General features: G+C 36.4%; 1 protein-coding gene across 1 annotated transcript in view; it reads left to right on the forward strand.

The window, feature by feature from the left end:
* Positions 1 to 21,026, forward strand: part of COX10 (cytochrome c oxidase assembly factor heme A:farnesyltransferase COX10) — a 139,174-nt gene that overhangs the window by 31,885 nt on the left and 86,263 nt on the right. The window contains exon 4 of the mRNA NM_001303.4: positions 730 to 854. Coding sequence (NP_001294.2) covers positions 730 to 854 — 125 coding nt within the window. The remainder of the gene's footprint in view (positions 1 to 729; positions 855 to 21,026) is intronic.

The following is a 21,026-nucleotide window of genomic DNA, read 5'->3' on the forward strand; positions in this document are numbered from 1 at the left end:
GGTGATCCTTTTTCCAGCGGATTTCTACAGCTGCATATCAGCACCACTCTTGGACACTTTCTGGCCCTGTCAGCTTCTGTAAACCCCAGGAAAGAAGCGCCAGGGCCTACCGAAAAGGAGCAGCCTTGGTGGAAGCTTGAAATGTCTGGCTTTGATTCTGTACCTCGCCTCTTCCCTTGGTTCCTGCTGGTGGCTTGTAGGATTATCATCTCCCACTACGCATTCTCTGACCGCTGGGACCATCATCTCTTATAGGCAAGACCACTCCTAGGCTTGTCTGCAGTTTGTCACAGACTTGGGATCCTTGTTATTTGCTGTCTTGTGTTACAGTTATTAAGGCATATCTGCCGTCTCCCTTTCAAATTAGTCAAGAGCAAGAATAAGACCATATACATCTTTATCCCTGGCAGTGCGTACTGATTACAAATTTGGTATTTAGTAAATGTCTGTTGAATGAATAAGTGAATGATTGAATCTGGAAGACTGACCTTATTTTTTTTCTCTTGAGTATGGAATTAAAAGAAAATTAACATTTTTATATAATTAGTACATGTAGTTTTTATAATCAGAAAAATGTGGATCTTTTTTAAGCCAAAGATCAGCCTGTACTTTGTGTTATTAATATAATCAATTAGTTTATATGAAGGATGGCTTGTTTTTTGTCGTTCTGGCCTTTACAGTTGGGACTCCTGTTGGTAACAGTGTGTCTGCTCTGTTTCTGTATCGCAGCTCTGGTTGTAAGTACCACTGCAGCTGGATTTGCATTGGCTCCGGGCCCTTTTGACTGGCCCTGTTTCCTGCTTACTTCTGTTGGGACAGGCCTTGCATCCTGTGCTGCCAACTCCATCAATCAGGTCAGTTTCTCACTTTCATCTAAATTATGTTATTGTCACTTTTTCCTAGATGGCTGTATTGTCATATTTTTAAATACCTTCCAAACTCATATATTGATGGAGAAGCATTTGTAACACTATATATCCTATAGGAGCCTGTGGGTTTCATAACCAATTTGTCTTTTCTTTTGAGGTGAATGGTTTTCAGATATGTTCAGGTGAGAGAGCAGTAGATTAGATGCTTCAAATGACTAGGATTCCTTGGGTTAAAACATGTTTTTGAGCTGTCATAACTTTCTACTCTTAGTGGTATCTTTGTTTATCCATTTCAGATACATTTCCCTGAGCTTGTCATTGTGCACTACTCTTTCTTGGTTTGATTTCTTTGCATTTTAAACCACTGCTATAAAGAACAGAATATATTTTAACTATGCATATTCAGCTATTTTTAAAAAATCATAATTTAGTACTCAGTTAACTTGGTATATGGAATACGGTTATACCCCAAAATTAGCATATTATTTTTAATACATCCCCCCCTATTATTTTAAACATCAAAATAATTCTCCCAAATAATTTTTTTTCCCATCTAGTCACTGTGGTCTGCCTTAACGTTGTGGCTTTTTCATAAGATATTATAGTGAAAAATTTTGGCCAAAACTTAAGGAAAATCGTTTTCATTACCAGAACACCCAAGAGGAGTTGGCTCAGTTTTAAAACAGGAATTCAAGTTACCAGCAGGAAAACAGCTTGGCTGAGTGGACATATAAGTTGCTAGTGTGCAAAATACGTGAATTTAATGTGATAATGCCTATAGTCATTATGGTTCTACAATATATTGTCAGCTATTTGGAGAAGGATCAATCTATTTCAAATAAGTTTTTTTGTTGTTGTTGTTATTTTGGATGTCAAAACAATCTTATAGTGAGGTTCAAATAGTGCTACCACTTTACCAAAAAGATCATCCCCTTCTATAAAGCAGGACACCATCTCTTCCAAGTAGTTTCTTCCTTTTGCTACCTTCCCATGTTTTCTGGTAAAGAGAATAAACATGATTCCACCATGAACATATTTTTAATGAAAATGCGAATGAAAAGCAATATAAGCCAAATTGATTTATTTGTCCATTTGGGTCTATTTTTTATTTTTAAAAGTTACTACCTCTATTTGGTTATACATCTGGGACCCGAGGTTAAGCCAGGAGCACATTCTAGTTTTCAGCCTCCTTTTCGTAAATTGAAAAGCCACATTTATCCTTGAGATACTAATTATCTTAAGGATTTAAATTATGTTGATTCAAAGAAAATGTTTAAAATAAAATATGGACATTCAGAGAAAAAATAACTAAAAAGCATCAAATGGTTCAGAAGCTCCTAAATATTATAAAAAATAAGAGTTGTTTGAGTTGGAGCTGCTCCTCCTCCCCTCTCATCCCACCCCTTTTCTTTTCAAAAATAGGTAGCTCAAGAATTTATCATGAAAAAAACCTCTCAGTTGGATCAAGAAAGTATTTGGAGGAATAAAAATTGAATGATTTACATTTAGACAGAAATTGAACATAAGCCAAGGTTTTGGAAATTTTAAAAGGATGTGTTTAGGTGGCTGCTTGATTTTTAGTCTGTAGAAGTATTTTTGCTATAGGGAGCGAGTTGGATTCTGTAAATTTTAAAAATACGGGGGAAAGCCACAGAATGCATGTTGGGATTCTTTCTGGTCCTGAAAAGGTGCAGTGTCTGCCTCTTTCCTCCTTAGGCTGGTTTTCCAGCCCTGCTCCGCATCCCACTTACACAGCACTCCTGATCTTCCGCTGGAACTCCGTGTCATGTTCCTCCATGTGTCACTCATCCCACACAGCCCTCTGCAGTGTCCTGAGTGACGTGAGTTCCTCATCAGTGCTTGTGGTACAAGTGAATTTCTCCATCTTTTTGTACCCCTCATATTGCTTCCTTCCACTTGTCTCAGGCTGTGATTTCGTTTGGAAGCATCACAACACTTTAAAAATCTCAACGATTCCCAGTAGAGTAGAATCCTAGTGTTATCATTATGGTATCAGTCAGCTTCCCAAATCATAATATTTCCCAATAATGTTAGGGATATTTTAGTTCCAGTGTTAGGCAATCTTATACATTTAAAATAAAGGAATGCAAAATCATTTTTATTAGTGTTTTTAAATAGGGTAAGCAGAACAAAGAGCACTGGGCAATAAGGGTTCAACAGAGTTTTTGGGCAGCATATAAATAAAGAAATAGTCCTTAGCAAAAAGGAAGAGTTTACTATACTTTTTTTAGAGGGCTAGTGTTCAAATTAAAAATACATATATGCGGTTGGTCTGTATAAAAGTTCTTCACTTCTAATAAAATTCTATGGGAGGAAAACTTTCCTTCTGTTCGTATTTATAAAAAGATTCAAATTTTATTTATATTTTGTATTTATTAATATTTTCTTTTAGCAGTTATTCATTTAGTTTTCAGTATTCTTTGTACTCTATTTCTGTGATCTCTGTGAAAGTAGAAAAAATAAAGCTTTGGAAAGCTGTTTTTACTTTTGTTTTAAGGAGAGAAAATGAAATTCAGCTTCTGAATTATGAAGAAGTGACTAGTGCATAAAGAGATTTGTGTAAGAAACCACTAACATTAAAATGTTAGAGTAAATTACGTACATATTTTGTAATACGTACACATGCTTCATTTGAAACCGTAGTGTGGCTTTAAAGCACATATGCCTTCAAAGGATGGAAAAATCCATAAAATGTTTTGAATTTTGCAGCTGAAAGATAAAATATTGTGGATGGTTTAACTGATCAAGTCTTGAGAAACAAGTGACAAACTGAATAGCTGAATTAACAAATTTAAAAAGATAAGAATTATCAAAAAACTATAACATTATTTTGAGGATTTGACATAATAGTGTTATAATAAGCTATAATTGGGATTATTTTACCTAGATTACATATACGTGATTTTTTAGACTGGTTATGTCAGTCAGTGTGTATGTCAGTAAATACATTTCTACAAGATACATTTTAATGGTGAGATGATATTCCATTTTATGGATATGCCTCAACTTTCTCAACCAGTTCTCCATTGTTGCAGCTTTTTGCTTCTATAAGTAACACTGCACAGATCTCTAATTATTTTTAAAGGACAAATTATTGGAAATGAAATTGCTGGGAGGATGGCTGCCAGTTAAAGCACACATGAAACTGCTTTAACTTCAGAATAAATGATCTTAACAAAATAATTAATTTTCTACATTTATACAGTGCTGTAGAATTTGCAGAGCATATTTACATAAATTATTCTTTAAGGCTTATAATCCTTAAAGTAGGTGGTATTCCTTCTATTTCTATGTGTAAAACATTTTGTTTTGCTATTGAATTATTCTTTTAGAAGGCAACATTTAAAACATGTATCATGCAAATAATGTTTTCATTGCATATCAGTGAGAAAATATAGATAAGCAAAAATAACAATAACAAATTTTATTTTACTTTTCCTTTATGCCGGACATTGTTCTGTGTTAGAGATACAGCTGGAAACAAACAAATATCTTGCTTTTGTAGTGCCTATATCTCACCACCCAAATAGATCCATTTGTTAACATTTTGATTTATATTATTATAGACTTCTTCACATACACACATATCTTCATATATATAACATATATAAAACATATTTAACATGGATATCTTCACATATATATCATACATATATATAGTTTGGGTATATTTTTTCATAAAATAGTATGTCATGGACATCTCGCCATGTCAGTATTTGGTATAGCATGTTTTTTTGTTTTTGTTTTTTTTTGAGGTAGGGTTTCGCTCTTGTCACTCAGGCTGGCATGCAGTGGTGCAATCTTGGCTCACTGCAACCTCCTCCACCTCCTGGGTTCAAGCAATTCTCCTGCCGCAGCCTCCCAAGTAGCTGGTATTATAGGCGCCCGCCACCGTGCCCACCTAATTTTTGTATTTTTAGTTGAGACGTGGTTTCACCATGTTGGCTAGACTGGTCTTGAACTCCTGACCTCAAGTAATCCACCCGCCTCGGCCTCCCAAAATGCTGGGATTACAGGTGTCAGCCACTGCACCCAGCCAGCATAGCATGATTTTAAGAGTTGTATATGGATATACTTTGATTTGTTTAATCAGTTTCTCCTTATTCGACATTTTAGGGATTTCTAGTTTTTGTCCATGTAAACAATGCTGAGCTGAAATTCTTTTAGCTAAATCTTTGCATATATCCTTATTTATTTCGATAGTTTTCTAAAAATATGTGGTCATGTCAAGAGATTATGAAGTTTTCAAAATAAAAAGTTAAAATTAAGAAAAACTACTTCAAGTAAAACTAAATGTCTTCCCAGTCTTTTGTTTGTTTGAAATCAACTTACACTTCTGTTTGTCAGTGTGTTAAAGTGCTCATCATTAATGCCGTGAATTGGAAAATCTTGGCTCGGTTTGTAGGTAACATCAGAAATGTTCTTTTAATTCAAGTTGTTTTGATGACTTACGAGGTGGGAGTGTGTTTACTTTTTAGTGCTTATTGGCCATTTAGGGGTTTTTTGGTCAGTTGTTTGCTGGTGAGTTTGCCTGTTTTGCTGTTGGGCTGCTTGCCTTTGTCTAAGGGCTATTGCTGTATATAGTTTGCATTGACTTATAAGGTGCAAATATTTTCTTCAGTTTTTGTCTTTAATGTTTTACAGTGCAGATGTTTCATGTTTTTACAGTGAGGTCTTTTTATTTTAATACAAATGTAATACAGAAATTTTAATAATTTCTCATCTTAGCACTACTAGCAGTTTGGACAAGATGTCTGTTGTGTGGGCTGTCCTGTGTGTTGCAGAGTGCATCCCAGCACCCCTACTTCTACCCACTGGACACTGACGGCACTCCCCCACCCCCACTTGTGACAGCTGAAAAGTGTCTTCAGACATCACCAAATGGTCCCTGGGGCCCCAAATCACTCCCAATTAGGAACCACTGCTTTAACAATTTCTACTTTCATTTTTTTTTTCTGAGATCTTTGCCCAAGATCCTGGCTATAATTTCTGTCTCAGGCAAACGCTGGCCCACATTTCTTTTTGTTTAATTACTCGTGGATAGCTAGGGTGACCATATGTACTTCTTTATGCCTGTGTTCATGGCGTAATTACTATGAATGCCTCTTTTACTTTCAAGTGTCCTAGTTTGGACAAGTAATTGTATGGTCTTGCTATTCATAGCCCACCTATGCCTTCAATCTTTCACTGTAAATGAGATGTAAAAATATCTTTGTATCAAAACAAATCTCCTCTTTGGTTCTTTTTTTTTTTCTTTCTTTCTTTTTCCACAAGTGTTCCCATGAGACAAGTAGAGATTTCCTGACCACAGCCAAGGTCACCTGGCTGGCCTCAGCTTTCACCCTCTTTGTAGCTACATCTTGCTCTACTGTCAGCCTAATTGTACTGTTTTACACACACACACACACACACACACCACACACGACCTTAGAAAACATTTCACATCCATTATTACTCTGCTATTAGCAAATTGTTCTAGAATCTTGATGACTGATCTCCTTAGTTTTTACAATATTCCTAGCAGATTGTCTCCTCATTACTATGGTTGTCACTGATTCCCAAGGCCACTGGCTCTATAAGTGGACAGCCTTGATGAGTAGAATGCTCTTCCTCATCCTGAGCCAAAGTCAGCCTCCTTATAACTTCAATCTGTTGGTCATAGTTCTGCTATGTGGAAAAACTCAGTGTTCTTTTTTCTTTCATATGATAATACTTCCAGTGTATCACTTTCTGACTATGGTTAGTAGCCACTTGTAGTATTGCTGTATAGTTATTCATTTATATCTCTTTCCTAGAGAACTCTTAACTTCTGGAAACCAATGATTATGACTAACATATTTTGTACATCCATCACCTCTGCCCACAAGCATATAGAGCAAGACAGTAGAGTACAACTTTGAAGGAATATGTATGAGGGAGGGGAGAAAGTAGCAATAAGTGTTCATGATAACACTAATTGCAGCAAACACTTGTGCTATATGCCAAAGAATGTTCTAAGCATTGTACATACATTAGATCATTTGTTTGAGTCTAGGTTCATCAGGTTTCAAAAAAAAGATAGTTCTTTTGAAAGATCAAATAAATGGTGAATGAATTCATAACTTAGTCTTAGCTTTAAGGAAAACCATTGATGTTCTCAGCGACTTTACTTTGGAGAAAATTAGAAGAAAGGCACAAAACATAAGTAGAGTTTCAGATCTGAGAACCAGGTTATAATTAGAAAGGTAAGTGTGACAAGGGTATGTTATCTTTGGGATCTAGTGTATCTGTGAATGTTGAATAATTTTTGTGAAAGCAAATGAAAGATCAAGAGGTGTGAATAAAATAGGGTCAAGAAGAGACATGTTTTTTGTTTAATACTGACAATATTTGAGAGACATTCATGGCTGAAATAAGGTAAAAAAAGAAGGGCTTTGGATAAAGAGCTCTGAATTATAGAGTAGGTAGGGCAAAAGAAAATTTACATCTTTTTAAACTCTGAAAGGAAAAACAGGTAAAGATTTTTTTGTTTTCCCAGTGAATATGAGATTAATATCTAATGCATTTTTCTCCATTTTCCTTTTCTCTGATGTTTCTTGTGTTTTGACTATACAGTCTGCCTAGAGCAATAGAAACTGACTTTCATCTTCTATGTTGAACAAAAGTGGTTATTAAATTTGATGTTGTATTCTAGGAGAATAAGACTTATGTTAGTGAATACCAGTGATGTGATTTATTGAACATCATACATATAAGAAAAAATCAATATGAAAAATATATTTTTCTTCTGAATGTTGTGATTTGTTTGACTTTGATGTTTTAGCTGCTGGGCAACTTGCATTCATTCAGTGGTCTCTGAAGTTGATAACTCATGGCTTATTCAGATGATTCAAATTAGCTACTGCACTAGATCAGGTTTGCCTAGAGAGTTCTTGAATACCATGTGGGAAAGAGTCTCTAACTAAATATGGTTTTTATATATAAGGAAAATGATGAGCATTACTGAACAATGACAGAAAGAAAATGCATTTTGAATGCAGAGTCTCTTTTCCTGAATTTAAATAACCTCAAATAATTTCTAAATTACATTTGATTCCCCTTTCCAGAATGATCCATCTCAGTGGAGTGAATTTGGCATTGGTGTTTATAACCAAAATAACTCCAGGTGAGGTTTTGCCAACAAATGCAGAAATTATGATAATTCGAACGTATATTTGTAAATAGTTTTTCAATAATTTACATGCCACTGGTCATTATTCGCTTCTTAATGATGACTCTGTGAGGTGGCATTATTCCAGTATTGTAGAAGAAGAAAATGAAGCTTAATGGTACTATTGATCACACGTGTTTGAAAGTGGTCAAATTGGGAGCAGAACCTGTGGACCCAGTTCACTACTATTTCCTCTCAAATGAGATGTCTTATTCCAGTCACTACCTTGGAATCAGGGTATTCTTTATTAATATGAGTCTTCCTGCTACCAGGTTAACTGCTGACATCCTTGCCACGGTGTAGTAGAGGTGGAGTTAACATAGTGGATGTGGTGATGTATCTACCTCTAACGACATCGAGTGGATCTAGAGCACTTATGTCTTAGTCAAACTAAGTGTTCCATTAATGTTAGCTATTATTATTGTTATTAACATAAAAGTTTGGTCAGGTTTTGGCCCACATCTTTCACATGTTCAGAGTCTGAATATCTTGCAGTTATCTCCAGTGTTGGTTGAGTCTAGATTCCTGGGATTTCAGAAAAAAAAGAACTATTTTGGAAGATGAAATAAATGGTGAATGAATTTATAACTTAGCTTTAAGGAGAACCATTGATGTTCTCAGAGACTTTATTTTGGAGAAAATTACAAGAAAGGCACAAAACATAAGTAGAATTTCAGATCTGAGAAGCAGGGTCTTAATGAGAAGGAAACATGTTTATTTTTCTCAGAGTACTAAGACTTGGGTTATACTGGCAAACTTTAATATATGTATGTTATGAATATATGTATATATTTATGTCAAGTATGTATATACTTGTTTATGAATTCTTCATATTTGGATATGTGGTGATGTCTTGGGTTCAGCAGACATTGATTTTCTGCTATTCGGTAAGCATTGTGGAATTATGTATGAGGTTCTGGTAAATCAAAGAAATGTTGGTGGAAAAGGGTGATTCAAAAGCAGATAATTAATTGAGACATAATGGAAATGATACAATGTGGACTTGGGGAGTTATAATTCTTGGTGTGTATCTCTGGGTAGCATGTTGTGATTAAACCTGATTTGGGTGGCTTGGAGACTTGCTTCCTTCATCTCCCCACCACCCCCACCTAGCAGAGGTCAAAGTAACGCTCTTTTCTAATTATCTCTTTCTTTTCTTTTTTTAATCTTCAGTTATATTTTGCCATTCCTGATGGTTTTTGTTCTTCTGAATCCCATTAGCCTCCTAGTTCTCTGCTCTGAACCACAGACTCCCCTCCCTGTTATCTGGGTTAGATTGACTGTTGGTTGACTGATGACTGATGGCATTGATGTAAAAACTGACTGTGTGGCTGATCCCTGGGAGACTGTATCGTTTCTTTGTCTCATACTCTCTTTGCCTTAGTGACAAACTGCTTTTAAGGTTTAATTTGTGAACATTTCGATGCCTTCATATGTATTTTTTGCTTTAAAATTGGTATCATTGGATGATTCTGAATTCTAAACTGAGCCCCCAGACACTGAAAGGAATAGGAATTGGGATGTCAGAGGGTGGTGGGGATGGACAGTAGAGCAGATGTTAATTGTTATACCTATGCTTCTTTAACCCAGACTACCTTTTGAGACTTCTTTGTCTGTTGCTGTTTCTAACTAGTAATAGAGCTCCAGACTGCTTTGAGCAAGCTATTAGACCTTTAAAATTTGTGTGTAAGTGATTAAGTAAATCCTAAAATTCACATTTTCATGACCACCCATTTCTGTCTTATCAATTTTCTAAGAAGTTTTAGAAAATATTGTTGGGCAAGAAAGGGAAATTACTTACCTGTGTGATTAATCTTAAGGAAAATTTCACTCTGGCATTTCCTTCAGATCCTATGCCAGATTTCTTCCGGAAACAACGATCACAGGGGGAACAAAGAAATTCTAAAGGATTTGAATGATGGAATGTAGAGATAGGATGAAACAAAAGAGAAATTTTGGTAGTTAATCAGATTTATGTATACTTGTAATCTAGAATATCTTTATACTTTAAAATATACTGTGTAACCTTAAAATACTAAGTTAAAGTACAGCTTTAGCTTTCATTCTGACTGGCCTTTCCTTAGTACTAAAAGGTATTTACCTGCTAGCTTACAAGAAAGAAAACTACCACTTACAAGGAAGAAAACTTTGATTTCAAGAAAGAAATAAAAGTCTAATTTAATATTCCATCATTTTCATTAATATGTCTGAATAAAATTAAGATCTGATATTGCTTTTAGCAAAAGTATGGTTGGTAATCTAGAAAATGCCATTGTGTCATATTGCTGTCATTAGATGAAGTAAATACAAAGGATTAAATAGTACAGTGTATAATTTCCTTAAACAGCTAGCTGAAGATATGTGGATAAAGATCCTTCCCCTAATGTTACTGATGTAATCTACTAACTTAAAATAATGGGGATTAAATACAGCTTCTGACCTTAAGAACATACCATAAGACCAGATTCTCAGTTCTTATAAAAATGTTCAGGGATTTATAAATTAGAATATCAATTAAGGACAGAATTTACTGAGGCTGAATTCCTTTCATGATTTTCACTTACTCTGATTGAGCGCGTGGCTGAAGAGTGTATTTGAGTGAGCATGCACAAAGTGTAATGTATTTTTTCCACAAGAGGAAAAATAGTTTATAAGTTTTCCAGCAGAACATATTCAGCCATCCTAAGAACCTACGTCTTAAGTAAAGTCAGGTTACATCAGAAATGACCCTCTTTGTAAACACTCAGTGAACATTCAGGCTTTAAGACTTTAATACCTTCAAAAAGCAGTTCACACTTCCACAGAATTTTGTTTATTCTACTTAGTTCAAATGCAGATTATTGATGTTGGGGAAGGCAGTTGAAATCCTCTTGACATTCACCCACCTATTAGAAAGTAATTCTGATTTGGCTGGACCAGAAAGGAGAATGCCATTACATAGTAGAAAGTGCTGATATTCTTTGCTGTTATTTTCTTGAAAGCTATTTTCTGGAAGGATCCATGTATATGTATTGATTACTTTTGCTGGAGATAAAAAGATTGGTTCCTACTCTGAAGTGGCTTACAGTCTGGTAGAGGAAGACAGATGAATAAATAAGTGCAATAAAACAATAACATTTATTGGCTCTGTAACAGAATATAGGCAGTGCCTTAGGCAAGTAAAGGAAGGTGTAGGGAGTGGCCGTTTCTACCTGTGAAGGTCACGAAAGCTTCTCAGAAAAGTGACCAGAACATCAAAAGGTTAGATGGGTTTTTTACTAAGTATGTGCATGTGATAGGGGAACTTTCCAGACAGAGGGAGCATCATGAGTAAAGACCCAGAGATGTGAAATTTTATAACATGGAGGACCATTTGGGGAACTACAAACATTGCAGTGTAGCAGAAGCACAAGTTTGGGAGGATACTGTGAGACATTTGGCTAAAGAAGCAGGAGGGCAGGCCGAGAAGGGCATATGTGCTTTGCTAAAGCAACCAGACTTACCCTGTAGGTGTCGGGCAGCCATTGGTAGGTTTTGGTAACATAATTAATGGCTTTCTGTTAATCTTAGGCTAGAGAAGGAAGTCCTGACTTTGACCTATAGACTCTGCATGATCTGATTCTTCTCAAGACCCATCTCCTTTCGCTGTCCACGTCCGAACTACAGGATCTTCTAGATTTCAGCTAAAACGTCATTCATTCATTCATTAAAATGTCAACAGACATTTCAGTTGACCTAGTCATGCTCCTCTGGCATAACTTTAATTCTGTTTGTTCAATATCTTCATTTTCTCATCACAGAAAGCACCAAAAATCAGCCCATGCATTTCAACCTCCCTTCTGTCCTCTGTTCTTGTGTACTCTGCCCCCTTGTGCCTTCCTCCCTTCACTCTCATACCCAACAAAACCTGTCATTGGGTTGAACTTGTCTTGACTCCTCCACCCCAATTCTTGTCTTTGAAGTAGGACATACAATGTTTATATTATTTACTAAAAAAAGGATGATGATGAAAAAGAGCTTTTTTCTGAAAACGGAATTCTTCTCAAGTAAGTAATAGAATGTAGTTTTCTCTCTTATTTTCATGTTGAGAAAGTGAAGCATGAACTATCTCAGCAGCTTATATAGAATCAAGCCACAGGTACTGAATTTTAGCTCGTAGATTCAGCTGCTAACCATGGATAATTGTGTCTTCTTGAATTATATCGTAAAAGAGCTCATTGTTTTTAAATTTTAAAAGAGGAGGAGTATGTTACTGCTTTAGCATTCAAAAGGTAAAGTCACAGAGACTCAAAATTGCTTCAAGAAACACCTGGTAATTGCAAATGTGTTTACAATTATTTCTCTACTGATGGCATTATGTTTCAGAAAGTGCCATTAATTGTGATAGAGTAACACACAGCTCTCTTTGTGAAATTTAAGTCTATTGAATATCAGCACCTTCAAAGACAATAAAAATTCCAGCCTGCATTTATCTATTCCCATGTGAGGCGTTACGACAATGTATATTGTATCTTTCCATGTGAAATTCTTTGGCCTAATCGCCTCTCATTTATACTCAGTTGTCTGAGGTCAGTTTTCCATTTTGCAGTTGTCAAACAGCTGTCAAATTAAAACACCAGATCCTAAAGTTAATTTACTTTTTGTGTCATTCCATATTAGTATATTTTTTGACTTCAGTATTTAAAGAGTTATCCACATTTCTTAATCATCCTTTCCCTCAGTTATCCCATTTTTTCCTGCAACAGTTCACACGTACATTAAGTATGGTACTCTAGATATCATTATTATTTTGCAAGCATAGTGTTTAAAAATTCACATGAACTTTATAAATAAACACTTGAATTAGGCATTCAGCCAATTAACTCCAGTGTTCTTTTTGCAAGAAGAGAAAATCAAATCACTTTAAACATGTCATCCTTATTTTCATTGTCATGCTTATTTTCATCCTTATTTTTATCATCATTTCTATCAAGTTGAAATCTCAATAGTAATTGAACATAGAATTCGTAATTGCATTCTAAATGTCAGTATAGGTTAGTATAATAGTAAAAAAATTCAGCATTCATTTTTAATAATTCATTGTTCAAAGAAATATTTTTGATTATGCCATTGATGTTTTACTACAAAGCCTCAAGTTGCCAGCGGGTGACATTAACACCGTAATCCTCTGTGAAAGAAGTCTAGCCCTTAGGTGTTTGATGAATACTTTAGAGTTAAATAATTTGGTGAAAGACCTATAGTCATATCCATATAGAACTCTTAGTTGTTAGATAGAAAACACCTAAAATGAATATTCTTAAGTTATGGTAATTAGGGTTTACATGTAGTTGCATAAAAATGTCCCTATATTAGTTTATTTAACCTTTTCCACTAAGGTCATTTTAATCAATAGTTGTTTGCTACTTGATTTCCATAAACTTGCAAGTTAGATAGGGCTTAATTTAATCTTTTCTAGAATTTTGACACATTCTCCTCTGAGATCTCCTAACTCCTTGTATATGGCTCTGTTATATCATTTATTAAATTGCACTTCAGTATATTTTTATGCATCTGAATGCTCCACTAGCTTATGAGTCCCCTCTTGCTATAAGGGCATATTTTATTCATCTTAATTCTTGGTACCTGACAGGCACTCAGTGAATGGCTGCTGAATAAATGAAGGAGAGCATGGGTCAACAAATGAGAACATAAACTCAACAATTAAAAGGGGCTAAACACACAGTGTTACTTTGTTTCTTTATTACTGCAAATTCATCAGATCTGTCATTTAAAAATGAAACTACATTTTACGATGTACAGAGGAAGATGGTCCTATTGTTTGTACACATTTTCTTGGAAATGTATTAGTCATTGAGCTTATAATAAAACAAGTTGAATTAAAATTTGGGTAATAATCACCAGTCAGAGTGGCTATTATTAAAAAGACAAGAAATAACAGATGTTGGAGAGGATGCAGAGAAAAGGGAACTCATACACTGTTGGTAGGAATGTAAATTAGCACATCTTTGTGGAAAATAATATGGAGATCTCTCAAAGAACTAAAAATAGAAAACTATCATTTGATCCAGCAATCCCACTACTGGGTATCTACCCAAAGGAAAAGAAATCAATGTATCAAAAAGATACCTGCACTCATATGTTTATCACCGCCCTACCACCGTAGCAAAGATATGCAATCAACCTAAGCGTCCATCAATGGATGATTACATAAGGAAAATGTGGATAAGAAAATGGAATACTATTCAGCCATTAAAAAGAATGAAATAATGTCTTGTGCAGCAACATGGAACCAGAGTTCATTATATTAAGTAAAACGAGTCAGACACAGAAAGATAAATACTGCATGTTTTCATTTATAAGTGGAAACTAAATAATGTGTACACATGGCCATAGAATATGAAATGATTCACAGTGGAGATTCAAAAGGGTGACAGGGTTTGGAAAGGGTGGATGATGAGAAACTGGAACAATGTAAGTTATTCAGTTGATGAATACCCTAAGAGCCCAGACTTCACCACTGTGCAATCTATACATGCAGTAAAATTACATTTCTACCCCATACATTTATTTTTAAAAACATGGTATACTAAGGGAAGAGATAAAATTAAGCTAAAGTTAATGGCAATGTAAAAGTTATTTATAACAGCATAGCAGTTTTTTTTCATATAATACTAAATGAAATTGTGCATTAATTTCATCTTCTTTGTCATTTGAAGGCTTTTAAAAGTTACCCTTCATTAACTGGTACATCAGTCCCCGTTATCCTTTCTGGTGTTTCAGTTACCCACAGTCAACTGAGATCTGAAAATATTAAACGGAAAATTCAAGAAATAATTCCTAAGTTTAAGTTGCCAGCCATCCTGAGTAGCCATTAGTGAAAATGTATTTCAAAGATACATTTTCTCATCAGAAATTTCATTACTAGAGGAAAACACAAGCTAGGAGATACAGAAACTCAGACTCTCTCTAGATCTCTAAACTGCCCTCTCAACAGCTCCGCTTAGACTTACGCAGGACACCACAAGTTTAACACTTCTACAACTTCTGATCTTTCCCCTCAAACCTGCTCTGACTTCCATCTCAGCTACTGTCAATCCAATCTGCTGGTTGCTCAGGCCAGAAATGCTGGAGTCATCAATGACTCCTGGTTTCTCTCAAACCCCACATTCATGCCATCAGGAAATTATGCTGATTGTGTGCATGCATGTACACACACACACACACACACACGTGTTAGCTGTGGAAGTTGTGAGGAATGATTAGAGGATGGCTGGATTTTCCAGCCAGTTCTTACAGCCTTCATGTTAGCACCACCATCATCTCTTGCCAGGGTTGTAATAACCTCTCTATCACTATTACTACTTCTACCTTCTCCTTCTACAGCATCCTCAACACAACATCCAGAGCGATCTTCTGGAAATATAAATGAGATCATATCCCTCTTCTAATCAAAACCTTGCAGGGACTTCCCTGGTCCTGTGTGAACATTGTGCCACCCACCCCTAACTCCTGTTTCTTCACACACTGGTCAACACATTCTTTTCATGTTATTTATCTTAAATTTTGAGAAAAGTAACATGGGCTTATGTTCACCATGCTTTAATTACAAATATTTATTCATTATTTGTATTTCCCTTTTTGTTAGTTGTCAGTATTGTTCTGTCATATCTTTTGTCCATTTTAGCATGAAGATATTTTATTTTTAAAGAACATACAAGGGCTTTTTTTACGTTAAAAACATTAACCCTTTGTTACAACTGTTTTTCTGATCCTGTCCCTTACTTTGCTCTTTATGTTTATTTTGGGTTATATGGAGGCTTTACATTTCAAAATATCAAATCTGTTGTTTTGTAGTTTCTTCCTTGGGAAAGATCATTAGAAAGGCTTTACATAGTAATAGGTGGATTTTAAAAAAATGTGTGAGGTGGTGATTTAACTTAATTCGGTCCTAAACTGTTAGCTGGTTGTTCTGGGCTTATTTTTAAATGCCACTCTTATAATGTGCCACATTATGCTGTATTTTGGATTTGTTTCTGACTCATTATTCCGTTTTCAAAATCACATCCTATATCTCTGAAATGGGAAAAGTTCCCTTATCCCCCTTTCAGGGCGTGTGACAGGGGTGTGGCTCACTCCTTCAGTAACCTGCTGCTCAAACCCGGAGGGGGAACATGCAGACAGGCAGGTGTAGAGATCATGGGGAGCATTTTTGGGCTCTGACCCAAAATCTGACCCAGCATCTAGAGGTGAGTGTTTGCAGCTCCTGAAACCCAAGTGGGCATATGTTCTTTCTACTTTGCTGTCTGCAGGCGGCTTGTGTTAATCAGCTCAGTTAGACCTTCTGCCTTATCCCAAGGACAAAGGGCTTTCTGTATCCCACGTTCTTGCCCTAGTATACCAGAAAAATTGGATCACATGTGGGCTTGGAGGATGAGTGCAAGATTTTATTGGGTGGTGGAGGTAGCTGTCAGTGAGATGGATGGGGAGCCAGAAGGGGGATGGAATGGGAAGGTGGTCGTCTCCCGGAGTCAGGCCGCCCACCTAGCTGGACTCTCCTCTGACCTTCCCTGCTGAATTCCCCTCAGCGTCTGTGTTGTTCTGCCATTGATGTCCTGCCAGTGTCTGCTGGTGTCTGTCGGTTTGTTTTTCTGCTTCTCTTGACATCCAGCTGCTTGTGTCTGTGCCCGCTAGGATCTTGAGTTTTTATGGGCACAGGATAGGTGGGCATCGCAGGCCAAAAGGCAACTTTTGGGGTGTGAAAACATAAATGCCTGTCCTCATTTAGGTCCATGGACACAGGCCTGAGGGTAGAGCCCTCACCAAGGACCCTGCCCTTCTCTACTCAGCAATTCCCTGCCCCCACCCATGTCATCTCTATTATTTACTTTAATGTCTGAGAGGGCAAGTCTTCCCACAGTGCACTCCTTTTCCAAGACTTTTTTAGTCTTTTAATCAGTTTATTGTTTCAGATGAGGTTAAGAATTACTTTTTGAAGTTCTTTTTAAAAATTAGGATATAATTAGGACTACATTGTATCTGCCTATGTATTTGTATAAAGTATACATCTTTGCACTATTTTAGTCTTCGTAACCAAATGTATTTCTTAGACTAAGACCATTTACTAACACTTGATGGCAGGAGGGTGGCTAACATTAGACAATGTTAAATGTAGAAATCAATGTGAAGAGGAATCCATTTCAGAAGTACTATAATGTAGGGGAGTAAAGGCATAAAAATTTTATAAAATGCTACTTTTTTCCTGATCTTGTCTTATATTTCATGGTAAAGTATATTTCAAAAATTTAGATCTGTATCTGTTTTTGAATGTTCATTTCTAGGTATTCTTATCTCTTAGATTTTTTAGTTTCTTTAAAATAGTTCCATTTCTCACCCATTTTCTTTTTATTTCTATAATACCTGTAGTCAGGGAGCTTTTTTTTTTTCATACAAATATGTTGTCATATCTTCTCTTAGTTCTTTTAGGTATTGAGAGTAAAAGACAAATGCTTTTCAAAACTTGCTTTTGTTTTTCTCTAGTAGGATTGTTTTTTTCAAATAGACTTTTCATCACCTCTCAGTATTGTTTTCCATTTTTTATGTTGGGGAGTTTTGACAGTTTCAGTTGCTGTTATTTCCCTCTGTTTATTCATCATTGAACTAAGTGAGGTACATTCAGTCGCAGTATTTGCTCATATGCAGAGTGTGTGGTATTTACTGGAATCTGTAGTATCTACAGACTTGATGTTACAGGCCTCCTCTCTGCTCTTGTGATTGCCAATAATTGACAGGCGTATATCTCCTACCTAATGTTTATGGAGAGTTCATCTGCTCTGAGGTTACATTTCCTGGTCCTACTTAAGATATTTTGTGAAAATTTGTAATTTATGCCTTTATTAAAGCAATTTATTCATGTGTTCAACTTGTGTTCACCTGTTATGTCTTCAACTGAGCATCTGTCACTCAGCACTGAGGATACAATGGTAGGCAAAAAAAACCTGCCACGATCTTTGCTCTCAGTGGACCTATTGCCTAGTGAGGGATGAGAATGTAGATAATAATTAAATAATTATAAACCTTATTTAAAAATTATAAAATTGCTTTAGTGGGAGCTGCAAACTGAGTGATACCTGGTACTATTTGAATTTGTAAAAGGGATGGAAGTGATGTTCCGGCTGAAATCCTAAAGATGAGTAGGAGTTTTCTAGGCAATAAGACAAGGAAGAGGGTTCTGGGCAGAGTGAATAAGATGTGCGCAAGCCCAATGACAAGAGGAAGCGTGGTTTAGAAAAACTGAGAGCCCTGTGATGAGACAGAGACAGAAAGGAGAGTGTTGAGTGAGATGAGGGTGTAGCTCAGACCATGAATAGTCTTATAGACTATGTTAAGATTTTCTTTTATTTTAGTTTTGGAGCATTAGGAAACCATTGTCATGCTTTAGAGAGAGACCTGATCAGATTTGTTGTTTGAACCAGACTGGATATAGAGAGAATGTCCAAAAGGCCTTTTGCCATGCTCTAGACAAAAGGTGATGATGCTTTACACTAGGGTGATGGTTGGGGGGATAAATTTAAAAGATATTTAAGAGATAAAATAAATGATATTTAGAGGTTGATTAGCAGTGGTGGAAAGAGAGAAAGAAGTTTTTGAGGATGACTCCTAGGGTGTAGCTTACAAAATTAGGTGGATAGTGATATCACTGACTACCCAAAGCGGACCTAGGTTTGGTGGAAGGATCATAAGTTCAGTTTTGGACATGTTGACTTTGAGGTGCCCTCAGTGTAGCCAAGAGGAGACATCAAGTGGATAGATGGATATGTAGGTCTAGAGGTCAGAGTAGAGGAGCATGTTGCAGATAGAAACTTAAGAATCATCTGCATAGAGATGGTAATTATAGCCATGGACACCAATGAGATTAAATGACCTAGGATTAGCCTTGAAGAGCTACATAATTGAACAGCATATGGAAGAAGATGATGTTGCAGAGGACATAAAGAAGAAAACCAAGGTATCACAGAAACGGAGGGCATATTTCAAGGAGGAAGGAAGATTAATAGAATGCTGTCATAAGGTGATGTGAACTGAAGACTGGAAGAGTCCATTGGATATAGTGATGAAGAGACCAGTGATGACCTTAGGAAAAGCTGCTTTGTTGGTCTGTTGGATGGGGAAGCCATAGGCCCACAGTGAGACAGAATTCCAGCAGATGTCATGCAAATGGGATAAAAATGAATGGTAGTTCCAGGAGTTATGCAGCACAGTAGCCATGAGAAATCAAATTGGAGAGAGAAATAAGTGATGAAACTTAGACAGTGAGTACAGATAATTTTACACAAAAATGAGTGAAAACTATATCCTCTGGAATATAGTGTCCCAAGATTTGTGGAAGTTTGGCTTCTCTAATCAGTGGCTTTATATCCTAAAGCTTAGATCCCTAGAAATACAGGAATTATGATGTGGAGAACCTGCATCTTTGTAACACTTAGTGTTCCCATACAGGCATTGGTTATGTTTTCCTTCTCCACTTTCTTTCCTGACATTTTCATCTCTTTGTCCTTTGCTTCTGTAACCTGGGTGAATGTGTCATGCTCATTCTGCCTGTGACTAATTGGCTTAAGTTCCTTTGGGATGGATTTTGTTCTTTAGCATTTCTAGTGATTTCAGTTCTGAAAATGTATTTTTAAGTTTATTTGTTCATAACTTCCAGTTCTCTTTTTATATCTTGTCTGCCTCAGCCAGATGTATTTCATCTCACCCTTGATATCAGGCTTTATGATCTGAATTTTGTGAGTAGGAAGTAATGATTTTAAAAATTGTATATTTATTCCCAGGCACTTTCTAAAAACCATGGCAAGGAAAAGATAATAATAAATTGAAAAACTTAAGTCAGAAGCAAGGTTAAGGCTGAGGGATGCGTATCTTAATATCCTACGCTGTTGCTGTCATGGCTGCAACTTAGTCACTTGGGCTTCAAGCAACCTAATAATTAAAGTGACAATGAAAATATCATGAGTTCTAACAGTTGCAGTTTCCTGATGGCTGTATACCACGATGGCTAGGGACACAGAGGTGAGCCCTGGCTGTCACTACTTGTAGTTGTGTGACATGGGGCAAATTACTTTTCTGTTTCGATTTCTTCATCTGTAAAATGGAGACAGTAATAATAGTATCTACCTGCATCATTTGCTCTCATTGGAGATGGGTAAGTAAGACATTATTTCTACTCGCAAAACCTAGTGGGAAATATAAGATATATACATAAATAAATGCAGTTTAATTTAGAACATAAATAAAGTGATATAGAATATCATAGAAAAAAGATTATCTCTGGCTTATGTGGTGGAAAGTGGTAGTGAATGCTTGCAAAGGCAGTGGTGCATTTTAGCTGGAGTACACAGGGTGTGCATGATTTGAAGATGAGGAGAGGAGGATTTTAGTCGAAGAAATAACCTGAGCCCAGAGAGGGAAGCTGGGAAGCATACACATGTGCATGTGTGTGGTGTGGAGAGGCCTAGAATGTCAGATGGCAAAAAGGAAGTAGTTGGCCATACGGCTTGGGTCGTGTTGTTGAGTATCGTAATTGCCCAGCTCTAAAGAGTTGAGATTGGATTCTGTAGGCAGTAGGGAGCCATTGAAGTGGGCAAAGCCTAGAGGCATGTCGACCAGTTAGGGTGTTATTACCATCGCCCCAGCAACTACAGGAAACAGGAACTTGGAAATGATGGAGATAATGCAGAAGAGGAAATGGATTTGGGGGAAAAAAGGGCCTTCATTCTGAGAAAGTTGATTTACTTTCAGCTATAACTTTATCAGTAAACAAAGAGGCACTTGTTTGCCTGGGTGTCAGGCACCACTTTGTGATCAGGGTCCTTATGCTTATAAAACACACGAGGCTGCAAAATCTTCAATGTGCTCTGGCAATCCCCGTCAACCAACTAAATGAGTTGATACTCACCATCTGTAATCTTACC

The sequence above is a fragment of the Homo sapiens genome, chromosome 17 (assembly GCF_000001405.40).
Source record: "Homo sapiens chromosome 17, GRCh38.p14 Primary Assembly".
NCBI lineage: Eukaryota > Metazoa > Chordata > Mammalia > Primates > Hominidae > Homo > Homo sapiens.